The 20,815-nt window shown below is 48.7% G+C and overlaps 1 long non-coding RNA gene across 1 annotated transcript in view; it reads right to left on the bottom strand.

Annotated features, from left to right (window-relative positions):
• LINC01169 (long intergenic non-protein coding RNA 1169) overlaps positions 1 to 10,618 on the bottom strand; it is a 103,609-nt gene extending 92,991 nt beyond the window's left edge. The window contains exon 1 of the long non-coding RNA NR_110372.1: positions 10,560 to 10,618. This is a non-coding gene — a long non-coding RNA (long intergenic non-protein coding RNA 1169). The remainder of the gene's footprint in view (positions 1 to 10,559) is intronic.
• Between the last annotated feature and the right edge of the window lie 10,197 nt (positions 10,619 to 20,815).

Raw genomic sequence — 20,815 nt, 5'->3', positions numbered from 1 at the left:
CCCTCCCAGCCAGGGAGCAGGAATGGAGATAAGATAAGGACTCCCAGTGGGGTGGGGCGCAAAGTGCTACAGGAGACAAGGCAGGCCAGACTGGCTGCTCAGACGGATCATGCCCTGCTGTGGGCAGTCTGGGAAGGCTACCTGGAGGAATTGGACACAGCACATTGCTGAACATCAATAAATATTTGTCTTAATTGCTTTGAGACACAGTCTGCTGTGTCACTCAGGCTGGAGTTCAGTGGCGCGATCACGGCTCATTGCTTCCTTGGACTCCTGGGCTCCCATGATCCTCCTACCTCAGCCTCCCAAGTAGCTGGGATGACAGGATCACACTTTTTTTTTTTTTTTTTTTTTTTTTTTGAGACACAGTCTTTCTCTGTCGCCCAGGCTGGAGTGCAGTGGCGCGATCTCGGCTCACTGCAACCTCCACCTCCCGGGTTCAAGCAATTCTCCTGCCTCAGCCTCCTGAGTAGATGAGATTACAGGTGCCTGCCACCACGCCCAGCTAATTTTTTTGTATTTTTAGTAGAGACGGGGTTTCACCATGTTGGTCAGGCTGGTCTCCAACCCCTGACCTTGTGATCCACCCGCCTCAGCCTCCCAAAGTGCTGGGATTATAGGCGTGAGCCACCGCGCCCAGCTCACACCTATCTAACTTTTTAACTTTTTGTAGAGACAGGGTTTGCCATGTTGGCCAGGCTGGTCTTGAATTCCTGGGCTCAAGAGATCCTCCTGTTTCAGCCTCCCAAAGTGCTGGGATTACAGGTATGATCCACCTCATCCCTTAATTGCTTTAAATGTCCCAGGAGACATCTAAGGACAAATTCCCTGAATACTTGGATGGAGCTGATGGCGAAGACACCGATGCTGCCATCACTTTGCCCACCTGAGCTCAGGGGAGGCAGCAGTATCCTCCCAGTGAGAAAGGGGAGATGTCTGCTCTTGGGCATGGGGGAAGGTGCAGGAGGCTGCCTGCGCCAGGCAGCAGCAGGAAGAGGGATGGCGAAAGCACAGAGACTTAGAGGAAGAAACAGGGCCTCAGCATGAGGGCCTTAAATGTCTGTCTAAAGCCAGTGACTCTGACTACCTCCCAAGCACAGGCTATATGCCTGATGTTCCGCTAGGACCCTGCAAGCACATGTCATCTTTGCTGTTATCTTTGCTGCGATATCCCCAGGGCCCAGAACTGTGGCTGGCATGGAGTAGGTGCCTGACAAATATTTGTTGAGTATATTAATTCATACTTAATTCTCACAATATCCTTTTGTAATATGATTATGCCTACTTTGCAGAAAAGAAAATTAGTATCAAAAGGCTAATGCCCCTGACAGTGAGGAGCAGAACCTACCATGGGTCCTTGACCTAAGTGGCCCAGTTCCAGCCAGGTACCAGACCTCTCAGAGAGCAACCAGGAAGGGATGGGAGCCAGAAGCATCTGTGTCCAATGGCTAGTGATAGGACAGACAGGACTCAAACCTAGGTCTTTGGAGTCCCAATCCAGTGCTGCCCTACCCCTTCATCATTCAACAGCTGCTTCCTGAGTTCTCCTCCCCTTTGGGGAAAGGGGGTACCCAGATATGCTGACCTCCTTGCCCTGGGAAAGTGCCCAAATCTTTTACTACGGCCACCTTGAGGAAGGTTACCAAACTCCTGCCACATGCCATATCCTGTGATTCATTTATTCGATATCCATCCCTTTATTCATTCGAGAAACGTGTTGAATGCCTACTATGTGTTAGGCAGCAATCTAGTTGCTGGGTGCAGTATTAAACAAAACACAAGATTTCTGCTCTTGCAGAGTTTATATTCCAGGAAACAGAGACAGAAAAGAAGTAAATAAACATGAACTTCAGGTACCGAGAGCTGGAGAAGTCAGAGATTCGAAGCATCTGAAGAACTCAATGCACCATTGCTGGCCTTGAAGATGGAGGGGCCACACATAATACAGAGTGGCTGCCAGTTGCTGAGAGCAAGCCCTAGCTGACCCAGCAAGAAAACAGAGACTTCAGTCCTACAATTGAAGGAGCTAAATTCTGCCAACAACCTGAAGGAGATTGGAAGCAGATAACCTTCAGATAAGAGCCCAGCCCAGCCAACATCTTGATTTCAGCCCTCTGAAACCCTAAGCAGAGAATCCAGTCATTCTCACCTGGACTCTGACCCACAGAACTGTGAGCTAATCAATGGATGTTATTTTAGGCTGCTAAATATGTGGTAATTTGTTATGCTGGAAAAGAAAACTGAGGGGGACGGGCCAAACAATAAAAAAGAAAAAGACAAAGAAGGAACAGAAAACTGTCAACCTAAAAGGAAGAAGCTGAGGCGGAATTAATGTAAGTAGACAGTTTATTTGGACCAAATTTGAGAGTGGCTACCTGGAAGCATAGATTCAAGTTGACCTGAATATACACTCCAATTAGCAGTGGTTACAAGTGGGTATTTTGTTTTGTTTTGAAACGGGGTCTCACTCCGTCACCCAGGCTGGAGTGCAATGGCGCGATCGAAGCTCACTGCAGCCTCAACCTCCCAGGCTCAAGCCATCCTCCCACCTCAGCCTCTTGAGTAGCTGGGACTACAGGTGCTGCACCACCACACCCAGCTAATCTTTGTATTTTTTGTAGAGGTGGGGTTTTGCCATGTTGCCCACCCTGGCCTCAAACTGCTAAGCTCAAGCAATCCTCCCACTTCAGCTTCCCAATGTGCTGGGATTACAGGCATGCATCACCCTGCCTGGTCAAAACAAGTGGGTTTTAAAGGAAAAAAGAAGAGGTAGTTCCTGAATTGTTTACCAGTAATTTACATAAAATGACATAAGCTATTGATTGTCTATACCTTGTTCTTTTTTTCTTTTTTGAGACAGAGTTTCACTCTTGTTGTCCAGGCTGAAGTGCAATGGTGCGATCTTGGCTCACTGCAACCTCTGCCTCCCAGGTTCAAGCGATTCTCCTCCCTCAGCCTCCCAAGTAGCTGGGATTACAGGCAGGCACCACCATGCCCGGCTAATTTTGTATTTTTAGTAGAGACCAGGTTTCTCCATGTTGGTCAGGCTGGTCTCAAGCTCCTGACCTCAGGTGATCCGCCCACCTCGGCCTCCCAAAGTGCTGGGATGACAGGCTCGAGCCACCGTGCCCAGCCACATTGTTCTTTGTATGACAAATTCTAGGAAAATGAAGATAATGGGTGAGGCAGCTCTCAGGAACAAAATGCCTTTAAACAGTTGTCCCCAGGCATGGGTACAGGGAGGAGGCCATGACTGAAGTCCCACACTCATGGCTGTTTGGGCCTGCAAGCCTCACAGAACTCAGACTCCTTTGAGCCAGTTTTCTTTTCTTGAAACGAAAGGGTTGTGTATAATACAGAGCATACAAGTGCCACATCACATATGAAGGTACATGCATGGCTCACGCTCCACACGCGCTACAGCCCCTTGTCTATTGCGGGCAGATCTCAGCCTCAAGGCACCTCCAGGTCCCCTCAACACTTCCAGGTGTCCACCTGTTTATGGAAGCCCGCCGGGGACTAAGGGCATTTCCTGCTGGCTGGCACCAGCTGTGGTAGAGACGGCTACCTGTCTACCAAACACTGTGCTCCCTTCGCGGGTGTGGCACTGTCATTGGGATGGGCCGCCTGACCAAGGACCACATTTCCCAGGCTGCCTTGCATCTGGGTGTGGCCCCATGACTGGTTCTCAGCAATGGGATGTGAGAAGTAATGGGTGTTACTTCCTGGTCAAGGCAGGTAAGAAGGGAATGTGTCCCTCTTTCCCCATCTATCCATGGAACGTGCAGAACACCAAGGCCTTTAGAGGCTCACAGAACTACAGGCTAGAAGGAGCCCAGAACCCTGAATCACCATGAAGAGAGCTGCCGGCCAGCCAGGAACACCTGCATGGGACCGTTTCAGGAGTGAAAATCAGACTGTTAATGGATTAAGCCATTGAAATGGGTGTGTGTGCTGGGGGGAGTTCCGTGTTACCTTAGCTACTGTTACCCTAATATATCAGCCCTTCCTCTCAGGGCCCCTCTCCTCAGACAGACCGCTGAGAGAGGCTGGAATCCCCAGGCCTGATGTGCCCCACAGGCTGACCTGCGCCCCCAAGCGGACCCTGGACAAAACTACCTCCTCACTCAAGGAAGGAGGAAAACCATGGCCCCTGCAGCCACCCATGCCTGCTCAGTGGCTACCCTCTGCATGCTTGGATCTGGGCTGGGGCTGGCTTGGGACCATCTCTGGCCCTTCCCTGTGTCCCACTCCCATACCCAACCATCACCTTGTTCAGCGCCTTCCACTCCTGAATCTCTCACATCTGCATTCCCATGGTCCCCGCTCTGGACAGGCCTCATGGTATCTCACCCAGAAGTCAGCAATGGTACAAACTCTCTTAATACAGCATGGATTTGTACCAGAGACTTTTCTGAAAATGCCTACCTGTCATATCTCTTCCCACTGACTCTCCATTGCCCTGTAAATAAAGTGCATTTTACCCCAGTCTAGCCTCCTCTTCCATCACAGCCCCAGGACCTCACCATTCCCCAGGACTCACCATTCCCTGGCCCCTGTGAAATGTGTGAATAAAGTGCTACTGCAAAGCCACATCCTTACAGTGACAACGATAATGGCCAGCTACAATGACCTTCTCCTCCTGTCTCAGACTGTTAAAGCCCTACCTATCCTTCAAGTCAGCCCCATTCCTCCCAAATGCCCCCAGCAGGAATGAGCTCCCCTTCCCAGGACTTCAGTCACATGAGTAACCTATGCTGTCCAATGCCATGTGTCACGGACGGAGTTCTCTGGAAAGCAGGCTCTGCCATGCAGTTTAGGCTGTAGGGCTTTCTTAAAAAGAGCCCTTGGGATCAACTCCTGTGAAGGGAAGGGAGCCAAGTTTGAATGGGCAGAGGAAGAGGTGGAGCTGCGCTGCCGGGAATGTAACTACTATGTAAATGTCGTTTACATGTTTATACTTTGTTTAGTGTAGAATTTTATCAAGAAATATTCCTCTCTCAGAAAACCATCTCAGGTAGTTGACTTACCAGAATAACACCTTGTATTCACCTGCATATCACTTGTCACCTTCTCAGTGCCTCTGTTTATAGCTAAAAGCTGGGAGTAATTAAACATTACAAAGTTTTCCTAATGCAGTGATGCTCAAAATATTTACAGACTGAAATACATTTCATTTTATTCATTATCAATTGCTTTCTTTTTATTTCTCCTTCATATGACAATTATGAAAATATATATTTAATTACGTCTGTGGGTTGGTTATACTGAAATGAATGGTTATACCATTCATTTCAGAATGGTAAAGAGGCACCGACAATACTTCATATAAGAAGGGAAGCAGGTGGCCAGGCACAGTGGCTCACACCTGCAATCCCAGCACTTTGGAATGCCAAAGTGGGCAGATCACTTGAGCTCAGAAGGTCAAGGCTACAGTGCACACCTCTGCACTCCAGCCTGGGTGACAGAACAAGACCCTGTCTAAAAAAAAAAAAAGAAGAGAGAGAAGAGAAGGAGGAGGAGGGGGAGGAAGAGAAGGAGGGGGAGGAAGATAAGGAGGAAGAGAAGGAGGAGGAGAAGGAAGAGGAGAAGAGGAAGAAAGAGAAGGAGAAGCAGGAGGAGGAGGGGAAGAAGAAGAGGAAGAAAGAGGAGGAGGAGAAGGAGGAGGAGGAAGAGGAGGGGGAGGAGGAAGGGGAGAAGGAAGAGGAAGGGGAGAAGGAGGAAGAGGAAGGGGAGAAGGAGGAGGAGGAAGAGGAGGGGGAGAATGGGGAGGGGGAGAAGGGGGGAAGGGGAGGGGGAGAAGGGGGAAGGGAAGTGGGGAGGGGGAGGAGGAGGAGGAGAAGGAGGAAGAGTGGGGGAGAAGGAGGAGTGGGGGAGAAGGAGAAAGGAGGAGGAGGAGAAGAAAGAAGAGGAAGAAAAAAGGAAAGTGGGGATTGGGAAGGAGATTTCCTTGAAGGTGAGTGGGCTCAGCCGCACAGTGGCTGCACTGGCTGGAGCCCAGCTGACCTGCTGAGGTCAGCTTCCTGGACATAGCCTGCTCTCCCTGCACTCCTCTGCCTCCCTATGGGGAGGAAGGTTCTAGTGTGAATGATATTGTTCAGATGAAGAAACTGAGGTCACTAGACATGGTTGAGGCTGGACCCCAGCCTGCCTGAGTCCACGCTGACCGACAGACCAGGCTCCGATGTGATCCCCACCAGCCCCACCTGGGGTCTCTCTGCCGCCCCACCAAGGGCCCTCAGGCATGGCAACCATTCGTTCTGTGTTTTCCAGGCTGGCCATGCCATGTTTTAAACAGTCTGTTGTTCTGTCCGCACAAATATCCCAGGACTTGTCAGTCTGTGTGTTCCAAGCCCCTTCCTGACCTCCCACTCCGTCCCACCGTCTCCCCTCGGTGCTGGAGGCGTACTCTGCACAGCTGTCTGTCACTGCTTTTACTGCAGCACAGCATGGCTGCCATCTGTGGCTCTCCCTGCGTGGGAGCTCTGTGAGGGTGGAGACTCAGTCTCATTCACCGCCATGGCCCTCGACATGGTGTTACAGGAGCTGTTTGAAGAATGAATGAGGGGGACAGTCACGGTGGCTCACACCTGTAATCCCAGCGCTTTGGGAGACCGAGGCAGGTGGATCACTTGAGGTCAGAAGTTTAAGACCAGCCTGGGCAACATGGTGAAACTCCATCTCTATAAAAATAAGCCAGGCAAGGTGGCACATGCCTGTAATCCCAGCTACTTTGGAGGCTGTGGTCTCCCGCACAGCCAGCTCTGCATGCATTACTCTTTCTCTATTGCAATTCCCCATCTTGATAAATCAGCTCTGTCTAGGTAGTGGGCAAGTTGAACCCCTTGAGCTGCTACAGGTGGGCTACTTGGCTGTGACACTCATATTTTGGTGTTAAGAGGGTGTTAGGTAATCTGTGTGTGTTTGGTAGTCTGTAATAGTTGTATAAGACAATTGGTCTTTTCAAGTTATAACCTTATCACTAAAAACCAAAAGTAAATGGAATAAGCTGAGGGTTTTAAGTTGAAATCTTACTAAGTTTATGCGCAATATTAGAAGACTTAAGAGAACTTTAAATTCATCTTATTTTAATTTTCCATATTTAGATTTTTACTTTTTATAAATTTAACTTATAAAAATTTCATAGAGATTATTCAATACTCAGGAAGGAAAGTTTTGTTAGTCAAGTTAAAAACTGGAATACTCAAATATGTCTAACTTTTAAATACAGTTTAAAATATTGTAAGATGTTTGATTATCTAAATTTATAAACCGAACCAAAGATATTTGAAGACCTCTTAAAGGAGACTTAAAATTTGCTATACGGACAGGCGCGGTGGCTCACGCTTATAATCCCAGCACTTTGGGAGGCTGAGGCGGGTGGATCATGAGGTCAGGAGTTCAAGACCAGCCTGGCCAATATGCTGAACCCTCGTCTCTACTAAAAATACAAAAAAAATTAGCTGGGCTTGGTGGCACATGCCTGTAATCCCAGCTATTCTGGAGGCTGAGGCAGAGAATTTCTTAAACCCGGGAGATAGAGGTTGCAGTGAGCTGAGACAGCGCCACTGCACCCCAGCCTGGGCAACAGAGTGAGACTCCGTCTAAAAAAAAAAATTGCCATACATAAATAGAATAATAAGATTTGCAAGCTGAATTTGAAAATCTAGAAGCTAACCCTTACTTTTTTTTTTTTGAGACAGTATCTCACTCTGTCACCCAGGCTGGAGTGCAGTCTTGGCTCACTGCAACCTCCACCTCCAGGGTTCAGGCAATTCTCCTGCCTCAGCCTCCCATGTGGCTGGGACTACATGCGTGCACCCACCACACCCAGCTAATTTTTGTATTTTTAGTAGAGACAGGGTTTCACCATGTTGGTGAGGCTGGTCTCGGACTCCTGACCTCAGGTGATCTGCCCGCCTTGGCCTCCCAAAGTGCTGGGATTACAGGTGTGAGCCAACGTGCCTGGCCAACCCTTACTTTTATTTGCTCTGGTAGCTTGAGCCTAGAGGGGAAGGGTCTTGCCCTGGGGTATCCACAGCAGCCTGAGGAAAGACCACAGTAAGATCCCAAGGAACTGCATAGACCCGGGACAGATAACATCAGGATTGATGCTGGGTGGATACCGCTTGCTGTGTTTTTTCTTGCTCATATTGGTATATGTCTTAGTCTGCTGTGTGTTGCTATAACAGAATATCTGAGAATAGGTAATTTATAACAAATGAATTTATTTCACATGGTTCTGGAGGCTGGCAAGTCCTAGATCAAGGGGCTGGCATCTAGTGAGACCTTGACTTAGCCCTCTGTGCTGCCTCATCACATAGGGGAAGGCGGAAGAGTGAAAGACCATGTGTGCACACAACAGAAAGCAAGCACACGCACAAGAGAGAACAAGAAGCAGCTGAATTCACTTTTATAACAAACCTACTCTTGAAATAACATCATCAATCCACTCATGAGGGCACGGTCTTCATGACCTGATTAACTTTTAAAGGTCTCCCCTCTCCACGTTGCTGTATTGGGGATTAAGTTTCCAACACACAAACTTTGGGGGACACATTCAAACCATAGCAGTGTTATTTGGAAACTTTGCTTTCATACTGTTAGAAAAAGCAAATATGTGTATTTTGTTAGATAGCAATATTTTCAGTTTTAAAAAAAGATGTACAATTATAGGATCAAAAAAATAAGTAGGAACACTGTAATGTTAGAACTAAGTTCAATGTTAGGGCCAGGTGCAGTGGCTCGTGCCTGTGATGTCAGCACTTTGGGAGGCCAAGGCGGGTGGATCACTTGAGGCCAGGGATTCGAGACTAGCCTGGCCAATGTGGTGAAGCCCTGTCTCTACTTAAAAATACAAAAATGAGCCAGGTGTGGTGGTGGGCTCCTGTAGTCCCAGGACTTAGGAGGCTGAGGCAGGAGAATTGCTTGAACCTGGGAGGCACAGGTTGCAGTGAGCTGAGATTGTGCCACTGCACTGCAGCCTGGGCAGCAGAGTGAGACTCCACCTCAAGGAAAAAAAAAAAAAAAAAAAAACCTAAGTTTAATGTTAGAACTAAGTTGGAGAGAAACTCCATTTTCAGTAGAAGCAGGTTTAGGTTATTCAGACCAATCTTCCTACAGAAAGCAACTTTTAAAACTTGCCAAAATATTTAAAATCATCTTAAAAGCATCAAAGATCTAAGAAGATATGAAGAAATTGCCTGGCCAGTGAGCCCAGCATTGGAAGCCACTTTGGCCATGGTAGAGTTTGCCAACCTTGAGAAGCTGAGCAGAGCCTATGAGAGTCTTGGGGGCATGAAGGAACAGAACTTGCAGTGGGGAAATTACCCCACACTTGGGGCTGGGAAACCCAAAGGACTTAAATTTTAAGAGTAAGGGTGGGCCGGGCGCGGTGGCTCACACCTGTAATCCCAGCACTTTGGGAGGCTGAGGTGGGCGGATCACGAGGTCAGGAGATCGAGACCATCCTGGCTAACACGGTGAAATCCCATCTCTGCTAAAAATACAAAAACTTAGCCGGGTGTGGTGGCAGGCACCTGTAGTCCCAGTTACTCGGGAGGCTGAGGCAGGAGAATGGCGTGAACCTGGGAGGCAGAGCTTGCAGTGAGCCGAGATTGTGCCACTGCACTCCAGCCTGGGGGACAGAGCAAGACTCTGTCTCAAAAAAAAAAAAAAAAAAAATAGTAAGGGTGACCAGAAGCAAACTGGCCCTTGCAAGTACTATGCTCTGGCTTTGAATTACCAGGGTAGGTCAGAAAGTCTTAATCCTTGAAAACTGATTAAGGTGACCTTGGATTACTAGTGCCGCCACATACCTGGCAGAAGCTAACTAAAGTCCTAAATGAAGGAACGTGACATCATTTAGGCCTAAAGTAATTTCTAAGATAATGTCTGAAACAAATGTCCATCCTACATCAATATAACCAGGCCAGGTGTGGCACCTTATGCCTGTAATTCCAGCACTTAGGGAGGGCAAGGCAGGCAGATCACCTGAGCTCAGGAGTTCAAGACCAGCCTGGGCAACATGGTGAAACCCCATCTTTACAAAAAATACAAAAATTAGCCAGGCATGTTCCCATGTGCCTGTAGTCCCAGCTATTCAGAAAGCTGAGGTGGAAGGATTGCTTGAGCCCTAGAGGTCGAGGCTGCAGTGAGCCATAATCATGCCACTGTACTCCAGCCTGGGAAACAGAGTGAGATCCTATCTCAGGAAAAAAAAAAAAAAAAAAAAAAAAAGATAACTAGGCACACAAGGTGACAAGACAATATAACGAAGGGCCAGCTGACACAATAGATATAAAAAACAGACCCATGAGAAACTCATATTACACTATAAAACAAACATGCTTGTTATTTTTCATAAATGGAATCATACAGTATGTGCTGTTATGTTTACTCAAGGGAAAGGCACTGGAAGAGAGTGCTGGCCCCTGGACGTTGGCCTCTTGCCTGACCCCTCTCCTCCATTCACAGCTCACACTCTATGAGTCTGTTTTCATGCTGCTGATAAAGGCATACCCGAGACTGAGAAGAAAAGGAGGCTTAATTGGACTTACAGTTCCACATGGCTGGGGAGGTTTCATAATCATGGCAGAGGGTGAAACGCACTTCTTACATGGCGGCAGCAAGACAGAATGAGGAAGCAGCAAAAGCGGAAACCCCTGATAAACCCATCAGATATTGTGAGACTTATTCACTATCCCGAGAATAGCACGGGAAAGACCAGCTCCCATAATTCAATTACCTCCTCCTGGGTCCCTCCCACAACACGTGGGAATTCTGGGAGATACAATTCAAGTTGAGATTTGAATGGGGACACAGCCAAACCATATCATTCCCCCCTGGCCCCTCCAAATCTATGTCTTCACATTTCAAAACCAATCATGCCTTCCCAACAGTCCCCCAAAGTCTGAATTCATTTCAGCATTAACCCAGAAGTCCACAATTCAAAGTCTCATCTGAGACAAGGCAAGTCCCTTCCATCTATGAGCCTGTAAAATCGAAAGCAAGCTAGTTACTTCCTAGATATGGAGGCGGGACAGGCATTGGGTAAATACAGCCATTCCAAATGGGTGAAATTGGCCAAAACAAAGCGGTTACAGGGCCCAGGCAAGTCTGAGATCCAGCAGGGCAGTCAAATTTTAAAGCTCCAAAATTATCTCCTTTGACTCAAAGTCTCACATTCAGGTCACAGTGATGCAAGAGGTGGGTTCCCATGGTCTTGGGCAGCTCCGCCCAAGGGGGCTGAGCCTGGGGTGATCTGCTGTTCTCACCTTGAATTTCCCGCTCAGTGCGGGGCACTTTGGAGGATGGCCACAGTGGGGGCAGTATACAGGCTTGCTCATGCCCATCAGCACGCTGCTCAATGTCTGCCGCTGGCATCTTGACCTGGGCTCTACTGGCTGAGGAAAGCCTGAGGGTACCCCACTTCTGCTCAAGCCCTCCCATGGGTGGACATAAGATTTATTACATTACCATTTACATGTTTCGATGTGCCTGAACACACCAGGATCTCCATTGTTTCCAGCAACTGTGGAAAGTAGGCATCATTAGCCCCCTTTGGCAGGGAGAGACTTGGACTTAGGGAGAACGACCAGCCCAGTCGTTCTCAAGCTTGGCTGCAGTTTGAAATCACCTGGGGAAGCTTTAAACATTTAATTTGAAGCACCGTGCGTGGAACCCAGGTGTCAGTAGTTTTTAAAGCACCCCCAGGTGATGTTAATTTACAGCCAAAATCAAGACCCACCAGTCAATCCCAGGCCCACAGCCAGTGGGGAGCAGAGTCTACTCGAGAATTCCAAATCTTAAGGCAGTGTGAAGAATGGGGGAGAGGTTCTTGGATCACTGAGTGTCTGGAGTCCCACATTGTGGGAAGACAGAGCCCCACAGGACAGTCCTGGCTTCTGCGGAGCCAACCTCTTCTCTCCTTGTCCTTCCCTGACTCCAGAACTTGAGCCCAGGCAGCCAAAGCCCAGGGGGACAATGGGTGACTCAGATGCTTCCTGTTTTCTTGGCCACAGTGGCAGGGTGATGGAAACAGCCCAGGCTGGGGTTCATGGCCTAACAGAGGGGCCTGGAGAGAGGCAGGAGGAATGAACGGGGTAGAGCCACAGATGGCAGTTTTCTGGCCTCAAAGAATGGAGACAAGTGTGGTTTGTTTGGTGGCCAGGTCAACAACAAAGGGAAAAAGAGAGGAAGAATTTGAAGCTAGCTTTCTTTCTTTTCTTTTTCTCTTTTTGAGACAGCGTCTCTTTCACTCACCCAGGCTGGAGTACAGTGGTGACATCTCGGCTCACGGCAACCTCAAACTCCCAGGCTCAGGTGATCCTCCTGCCTCAGCCTCCCAAGTAGCTGGGACCACAGGTGCTCGCCAACACACCTGGCTAATTTTTTGTAGAGACAGAGTTTTGCCATGTTACTCAGGCTGGTCTTGAACTCCTGAGCTCGAGTGATCTTCCTGCCTCAGCCTCCCAAAGTGCTGAGATTACAGGTGTGAGCAACCGCATCCAGCTGAGATTTCTTGACATATAACACATGATTTTCTGAGTCCTCAGGGGTTGAAGAAGAGGCCTGAGGTTCTGCTTTGGTTCAGGCAAAGCAGATAAGCTGGGAGGCTGTGTGGGTCAAGGGGAAGAACTCTAGCCCAGGTCCTTTGCCTCCCTGAGTATTTTGTGCCTGCCCTACCATGAATGACTCTCTTACCCTGGGTAAGCCCCTGGCATCTCTTAGCCTCTGCTTTCTGTCCTATGAAATGGGAAGGGGCTGGCATAGGCTGAGCTCTGAGACTGTGAGAAAACCCTTAACCCCTCCCAGTCCTACAGAGCACTGTGAGGCCTCCAAGAGACTTCATTTACATAGTTCTGATTCCGGGTCTGACAATAACACTGAGAGGTGAGCAGGAAAAGCACTATCATTACCTGATTGCTATGGGAAACATCAATGAACAGAGAGCCTAAGAAAGGTGCTGGCCAGGCCAGGCACAGTGGCTCACGCCTGTAATCCCAGCACTTTGGGAGGCTGAGGTGGGCGGATCACCTGAGGTGAGGAGTTTGAGACCAGCCTGGCCAACATGGTGAAACCCCGTCTCTACTAAAAATACAAAAAATTTACTAGGCGTGGTGGTGCACGCCTGTAATCCCAGCTAGTCGGGAGGCCGAGGCAGGAGAATCGCTTGAACCCGGGAGGCAGAGGTTGCAGTGAGCTCAGATCACCCCATTGCACCTCTAGCTTGGGCAACAAGAGTGAGACTCCATCTCAAAAAAAAAAAAAAAGAAAAAGAAAGAAAAGAAAGGTGCTGGCCAATAGTGCCCAGAAATGGGGACCCATATGCTTCTGGTGGCCCACCTTGGTCAAGTTCCCTTCCTTGGAGGACAGCAATTTGGAGATATTTATTAAAAATCATACATGTTAGAGTGTTGGCTTCAATCTTCTCCCTGCTGAAGTCACCCTTGGATAATAATCCTAAATTCAGAAAAAGCTTTTTAGACAAAGAAGATGTACTCTAAAGTGAATTTTGAACTGGGTGTGGTGGCTCATGCCTGTAATCCCAACACTTTGGGAGGCTGAGGCTGGAGGACTGCTTGAGTTCAGGAGTTTAAGACCAGCCTGGGCAACATGGTAAGACCTGTAGTCCCATCAACTCTAGAGGCTGAGGTGGGAGGATGGCTTGAGCCTGGGAGGTTGAGGCTGTGGTGAGCCATGATCACACCACTGCACTCCAGCCTGGGAGACAAGAGTGAGACCCTGTCTCAAAATAAAAAAATTTTTTAAAAAGTTGAATTTTGTAATAATGGAAAGGTAAACAGCCCTGATGTCCAGCCATAGGAAAAGGTACCCATGGAATGTGTATTAGCTACCTGCTGCTGAGTAACAAGTTACCCTCAAACTTACTGCCTTAAATAGCAAACACCTACTATCTCATAGTTCCCATAGGGCAGGAACACCAGCATGCCTTAACTGGGTGCCTCTGGCTCAGGGCCTGTCACAAGGCTGCAATCCAGGTCTCTACTGGGGCTGTGACCATCTCAAAGCTTGACTAGAAGAAGGTCCACTTCCAAGCTCACTCACAAGTCTGTGGCCCAGGTCCTTGGCTCTGGGCTGGAGACATCAGTTCCTCAGTATGTGGGCCCCTCCACGGGGCAGCTCACAACGTGGCAGCTGGTTTTCTTCAGGACGAGCAAGACAGCAAGAGGGAGCAAGCAACGTGGAAGGCACCCAGTCCTTTGTAACCGGATCTTGGAAGTGACAACCCTTCATTTTTGCTCACTTCTGTTCCTCGGAAGTGAGTCACTAGGTCTAGCCACATTCAAAGGGAGAGGATTACACAGGGCATGAATACCAGGAAGTGGGGGCTTTCTTAGAGGCTAACTACCATGTGATGTATGTGACCTTTTTTTTTTTTTTTTTTGAGACAGGATCTAGAGTGCGATGGTGTGATTACAGCTCACTATAGCCTCGACTACCGGGGCTCAAGCGATCCTCCTACCTCAGTCTCCCAAGTAGCTAGGACCACAGATGCATGCCACCACAGCCGGCTAATTTTTTTAATCATTATTTTTTGTAGAGACCAGGTCTCCCTATGCTGCCCAGGCTGGTCTCGAACTCCTGGACTCAAGCAATCCTCCTACCTCAGCCTCCCAGAGTGCTGGGATGACAGGCATGAGCCACCATGTCTGGCCTATGACCTTAAGTTAAATGAAGACAACAGGATGCAAAACTGCTAACACAGGGTGATCACATCTGACTTAACAATACAATAGGGGAAAAGATGGGAAGAAATTTGTTAGAAACACCTGTGTGGAGTGGGGGAGCAGCGGCAGGGAAAGCATCAGGAAAAATAGCTAACGCGTGCTGGGCTGAATTCTTAGGTGACGGGTTGATAGCTGCAGCAAATCACCATAGCATACATTTACCTATGGAACAAACCTGCACATCCTGCACATATACCCTGGAACTTAAAATAAACAAATACTAAAATACCTGAAGAGGAAAAACCAAAACAGAACACCTATCCACATCTAAAAAGCAAACAGGAGGCTGGGTGTGATGGCTCATGCCTATAATCCTAGCACTTTGGGAGGCCGAGGCAGGCAGATCATGAGGTCAATAGATCGAGACCATCCTGGTCAAGATGGTGAAACCCCGTCTCTACTAAAAATACAAAAATTAGCTGGGCATGGTGGCGCACGCCTGTAGTCCCAGCTACTTGGGAGGCTGAGGCAGGAGAAACATTTGAACCCAGGAGGCGGAGGTTACAGTGAGCCAAGATCGTGCCACTGCACTCCAGCCTGGGCGACAGAGCAAGACTCTGTCTCAGAAAAAACAAACAAACAAACAAACAAAAAAACAAGCAAACAAAAAAACGCTAACAGGGTCTGGATGATAAAGCATCTTTGTAAATTAGGTTTCTTGCTTTTCTATATAGAGCCAAGGGGCTGGGTAGGAAGGAATCCAGCCCCTGCTTTCCGTGCTGGAGCCTGTCTAAGCAGTAAGAACCTGTAAGTTCCCATGTTGAGACAGCCTCAGAGGATGCATGGGAGACACATCCTAACCACCTCTGACCTTATTGCATATTCCTGGGTTTGTTGGAGCTGAGTGGGTGGCTCCAATAGAGTTGGATCCTCAGAATCACTGTTGATTTGGTGTAGACGAGGTGGCCCAGGAAAGGGAAAGTAGCTGGCATGGTGGAAAGCACCTCAAAGTTGCAGTCTCAGACCTTGGGCCTGCCAGTTACATGAACGTGGGCCTCATTCAGACCTCAGTTTCCTTATCCACAGAATGGGATAAAGATAAGTAATATTGCCAGGTGTGGTGGCTCACACCTGTGATCTCAGCACTTTGGGAGGCTGAGGTGGGCAGATCACTTGAGGTCAGGAGTTCGAGACCAGCCTGGCCAACATGTGAAACCCCATCTCTACTAAAAATACAAAATTAGCCAGGCGTGGTGGCGCACACTGTAGGCCTAGCTACTCAGGAGGCTGAGGCAGGAGAATCACTTGAACCTGTGAGGTGGAGGTTACAGTGAGCCAAGACTGTACCACTGCACTCCAGCCTGGGCAACAAGAGCGAGATTCTGTCTCAAAAAAAAAAAAAAAGATAAGTAATATCACATGGGGTTAAATGGGATTGATTGTGCACAGAAGTAGAAATATACTCAGTACGCTGTAAAGCTCTGGACCGGTGATGTTTTCTTCAGGAGTTAACCGGAGCAAATATACCTCAGTATTGCCTCTGAGCTCTCAGCAGGAGTCAGCCCTCCCCCAGCCACTGGGCAGCAGGCCTTGCTGGCTCCCACGTCCTGAACCATAGTTCCATGCTCACCTCTAACTAGGTACGTTGGTTAAATGTTTAAGTTGAACATGCTTTGGTTCAAAAGGATGAGGTTACCTCTAATGAAAGACAACGTGGCAACATCCACCAAAATCACAATTTCAGCCAGGCACGGTGGCTCATGCCTGGAATCTCAGCACTTTGGGAGCCCAAGGCAGGCAGATCGCTTGAGGCCAAGAGTTTGAGACAAGCCTGGCCAACAAGGTGAAACTTCATCTCTACTAAAAACACAAAGATTAGCTGGGTGTGGCAGTGCACACCTGTAATCCCAGCTACTCGGTAGGCTGAGGCAGGAGAATCATTTGAACCCAGGAGGCAGAGATGCAGTGAACTGAGATCATGCCACTGCACTCCAGCCTGGGCAACAGAGTGAGACTCTGTCTCAAAAATAAAATAAAACAAAAATCACAAATTCACTTTTAGGAATAAATACACACTCACAGGTGTACATAAGGACACAGGGATATACAGGGAGAACAAAACATTGTCAAGAAAAAAGTGTCCATCCACAGGGGGCTGGCTAGATCAGTCATGGAACATCCAGGCCAGGGAGTGCTGTGAAGCCCTTAAAAAGAGCGAGGTGGCCGGGCGCAATGGCTCACGCCTGGAATCCCAGTACTTTGGGAGGCCGAGGCGGGAGGATGGCTTGAGCCCAGGAGTCCAAGACCAGCCTAGACAATATACATGAGACTTCATCACTACAAAAAGTAAAAAATAAAATTTAAAAAAAGCTGAGCATGGTGGAGGGTGCTTGTGGAGCTACTTGAGAGGCTGAGGTCGGGGGATTGCTCGAGCCCGGGAGTTTGAGGCTGCAGTGAGCTATGATCCTGCCACTGCACTCCAGCCTGGGCAGTGGAGCAAGACCCTGTCTCCAAAAATAAGTAAAGAAGTAATACCACTTTACCTTGAGAAATGGATTCTAGTTCTGACTGCCTGTGACCCTTGCCCTTTCTGGACCTCAGTTTCCCCACTGGGTACACGGACTGCTCTAGCTGTCCTCTCCCAGGCGGATGAGTGACAGCTCCACCCTCTGGGTTCTCCTTCTGTCTCTCCCTCCACCCGCACCAACCCCAGGCCAGGCTCGGCTCTGATGTGAGTGGCAGTTTCCTCAGGACTCATCTTCCCCTCCTGCCCCAAACACAAGCTCATAGGTCAACTCTGTTACAAGGCCTTACTGCTCATCACTCAACAGAACCAGCTTCAGAGACAACCATAGCAAACACAAGGAGCTCTACGAGCCTTAGAAGCATTCATTGTCTCTAAAATGTTGGGTCCCCGGTTAGTATTTCGGAACACTTCTATGGTCATCGCTGGGCCCTCGTGGGCACTTCTTCCTTAGGAAGGAGCCACCCCCATCATCCCTCTCTGAAGAAGGACCCAGGCTCCCTCCTTCCAAGATGGCGCCTCTTCCCAGAGGAGGTGCACTGAAGCCCTCACTCCAAAACCCAGCCTGCTTCTGCCCAGGGGTGATCCTTTGAGCTTGTTCTCACGGCCTCTGCAGGGATGAAGGGAAAAACTCTTCATTCATTCATTCATCCTTAAGCAAACAGCAGTACCATAGGCAAAACCATGGGATTCAATGGAGAATAAAAACAGACAAGGTTAGAAGCTATGAGGAGATGGACTCTTACCAAACAGCCTCCTAAATAAAAGTGAAACGAGGCCTGTGATGGATGCTCTAGAAGACAGGCTCCAGAGAATGTCCTGAGGGAGACAAGCTGAGGCGCTTCTTCCCATCTTCACAGAGACTCTCCTCTCTCCCTACCCCACAGCCTCCTCCTTTCACCCTTCAGAAACTGGAAGCAGAGGACTTGGCTGGCATCTTCAGCAGCCAGCCATGGGGTTCCCCACAGGTGGAAATGGGGGGAGAAAAATGCAAGGCACGATCCTGAAAATTTCTAGGAGATGAGCTCAGGCCAAAGAGCCCTGGTGGGAGGTGCTGGCTGGGCCAGTTCCAGACCTGTCACCATCATTATCATCGCTTGTTCCCAGCACCAGCCTCCAGCCCTCCAAGGCCCATATCCAAATCTCTGTCCCTCCCCACACCTCCGCCCTGCAGGGGTCCCAGGCAGCAAGGCCACTGCCATGTGAGATCTTTCAGTTTGGAATTGATGTTTTACTGCCAATGCCAGTGTCTGCACCAAGACAGGAATTCGTGTGCACGTGTGTGTGTGTGTGTGTGTGTGTGTACACATGCGTGTTATACACGTAAGTCCATACTCTGTGGATAGGATGTCAATTCATTCCAGATTTACTGGAACAAACTCAATTCCACATAGTTGGACACCACAAACCATGAAAATGTCCAGAAAATTCCAATATGATTATTTCTTTGTGCAGTACTCCTTCAGTTTTGTTCCAAAAAAAAGAAGGATTTGAGAACCAGCTTGCAGAAGTGTATGCATACCTCAGACAGGTCTTAGAATAATAGACAAAAGGAGCAGCTGGGAGGGAGAGTAAGACGTCACACACAAATGCATAATCCAAGTCCTGTGTGCATGCTGGAGACTGGCCACAAATGCATCTCAGAATTTCCAAGTATCCAGAGCTAAGAGGGAAATAAGATGATACAGATTTCAGTTCTTGAGAACTTTGGGAATTTCCCCCAAAAGTCCTCAGAAAGGAGAGGTGGCGCAATGCAAGTTTAGAGGGGAACAGATTCACTTTCCATATCTTAACAGTGGTTTGGTGACATGAGTGACTGCGTTTGAAAAAACTCACAGAATAGCACACTTAAGACTTGTGCCTTTCACTGTAAGCAAATGTTACCTCAAAAAGAAAAGAACCATAAACAAATACAGTTCATGATGCTGCTACTGAAGTGTTTAGGGCTGAAGTGACCTGATAAGGGACATGTGGCATGTTATGAAGCAAATACAGTAACAGGTAGAATCTCGGCCAGGTGCGGTGGCTCATGCCTGTAACCCCAGCACTCTGGGAGGCGAGGCGGGTGGATCACCTGAGGTCAGGAGTTTGACAACAGCCTGGGCAACATGGTGAAACCCTGTCTCTACTAAAAATACAGAAAATTAGCTGAGCGTGGTGGCACTCGTCTCTAATCCCAGCTACTTGGGAGGCTGAGGCAGAATTGCTTGAACCCGGGGGGCAGAGGTTACAGTGAGCCAAGATCATGCCAACGCACTGCAGCCTGGGCGACCAGAGCAAAACTCCATCTCAAAAATAAAAAAAAAAGAGCTGATGTCATCTCTGAAAAATGTCCCCTTCCCATGGAGCCAGGGCCAGTGTCTGTGTGATTTTTTTTTGTTTTTGTTTTTGTTTTTGTTGTGTGTGTGTGTGTGTGACGGAGTCTCACTCTGTTGCCCAGGCTGGAGTGCAGTGGTGATCTCGGTTCACTGCGAGCTCCGCCTCCCAGGTTCACGCCATTCTCCTGCCTCAGCCTCCCAAGTAGCTGGGACTACAGGCACCTGCTACCAGGCCCGGCTAATTTTTTGTATTTTTAGTAGAGACAGGGTTTCACTGTGTTAGCCAGGATGGTCTTGATCTCCTGACCTTGTGATCTGCCTGCCTCGGCCTCCCAAAGTGCTGGGATTATAGGCGTGAGCCACCACACCCAGCCTCTTTTTTTTTACTTTTTTTTTTTTTTTTTTTTTGAGACAGGGTCTCACTTTGTCATCCAGGCTGGAGTGCAGTGGCATGATCTCAGCTCACTGCAACCTCTGCCTCCCTGGTTCAAGCAATCCTCCATCCTTGGCCTTCCAAGTAGCTGGAACTACAGGTGCGTGCCACCACCCCCGGCTAATTTTTGTATTTTTTAAGTAGAGACAGGGTTTCACCATGTTGGCCAGGCTGGTCTCGAACTCCTGACCTCAGGTGATCCACCCACCTCAGCCTCCCAAAGTGCTAGGATTACAAGCATGAGCCACCGCATCCAGCCACAATTCTTTCAATGTTTCTGTATGTTTGGATATTTCATAATAAAAAGTTGAGGGCTCTGAGAAATTAAGTGGGCTTTGGGAGTTATCATCCACACCCAGAAGACTAAAAGTTGTGAGTTTTGTCCACAGAGTCAGAGCTGGCAGCAGGCCTCAAAACTGGCTGAACCCCAGCATGTTTCCCACAGGCAGTGATGGGCTCAGAGGTGCAGAGCTGTGGCTTTAGCAGAGCAGAAGCAGAGAGGCCTGGCTCCCCACAGAGCCACAGCCTCCCAGGGTTTTGGTGTCGCCCAGTCAAAGCTCTCAGACCATAGAAGTCCTGTGCCAGGCCATCAGGGAGCGTCTGCCCTTGAGGCTCTGCGCCCCAGACATAACGCCCTTGCAAGTGGCAGCACTAGACTTCAGCCTGGACAGTGTGATGGTGTGGATGAGGGATCCTTTATGGGGGCTTTCCTCTGTGCCAGGCACTCTGTATTACATCTGTCATGTCATTTAACATTCAAATGACCCTGTGTAGGAGATACTATCATCATCCTCTTTTATACATTAAAAACAGGGCCCAAAGAAGGGCAGTAACTTGTTTGTAACCA

The sequence above is a fragment of the Homo sapiens genome, chromosome 15 (genome assembly GCF_000001405.40).
Source record: "Homo sapiens chromosome 15, GRCh38.p14 Primary Assembly".
NCBI classification, from domain to species: domain Eukaryota; kingdom Metazoa; phylum Chordata; class Mammalia; order Primates; family Hominidae; genus Homo; species Homo sapiens.
Note: the sequence above shows the minus strand (reverse complement) of the source record. Positions and strands in the feature narration are given on the sequence as shown.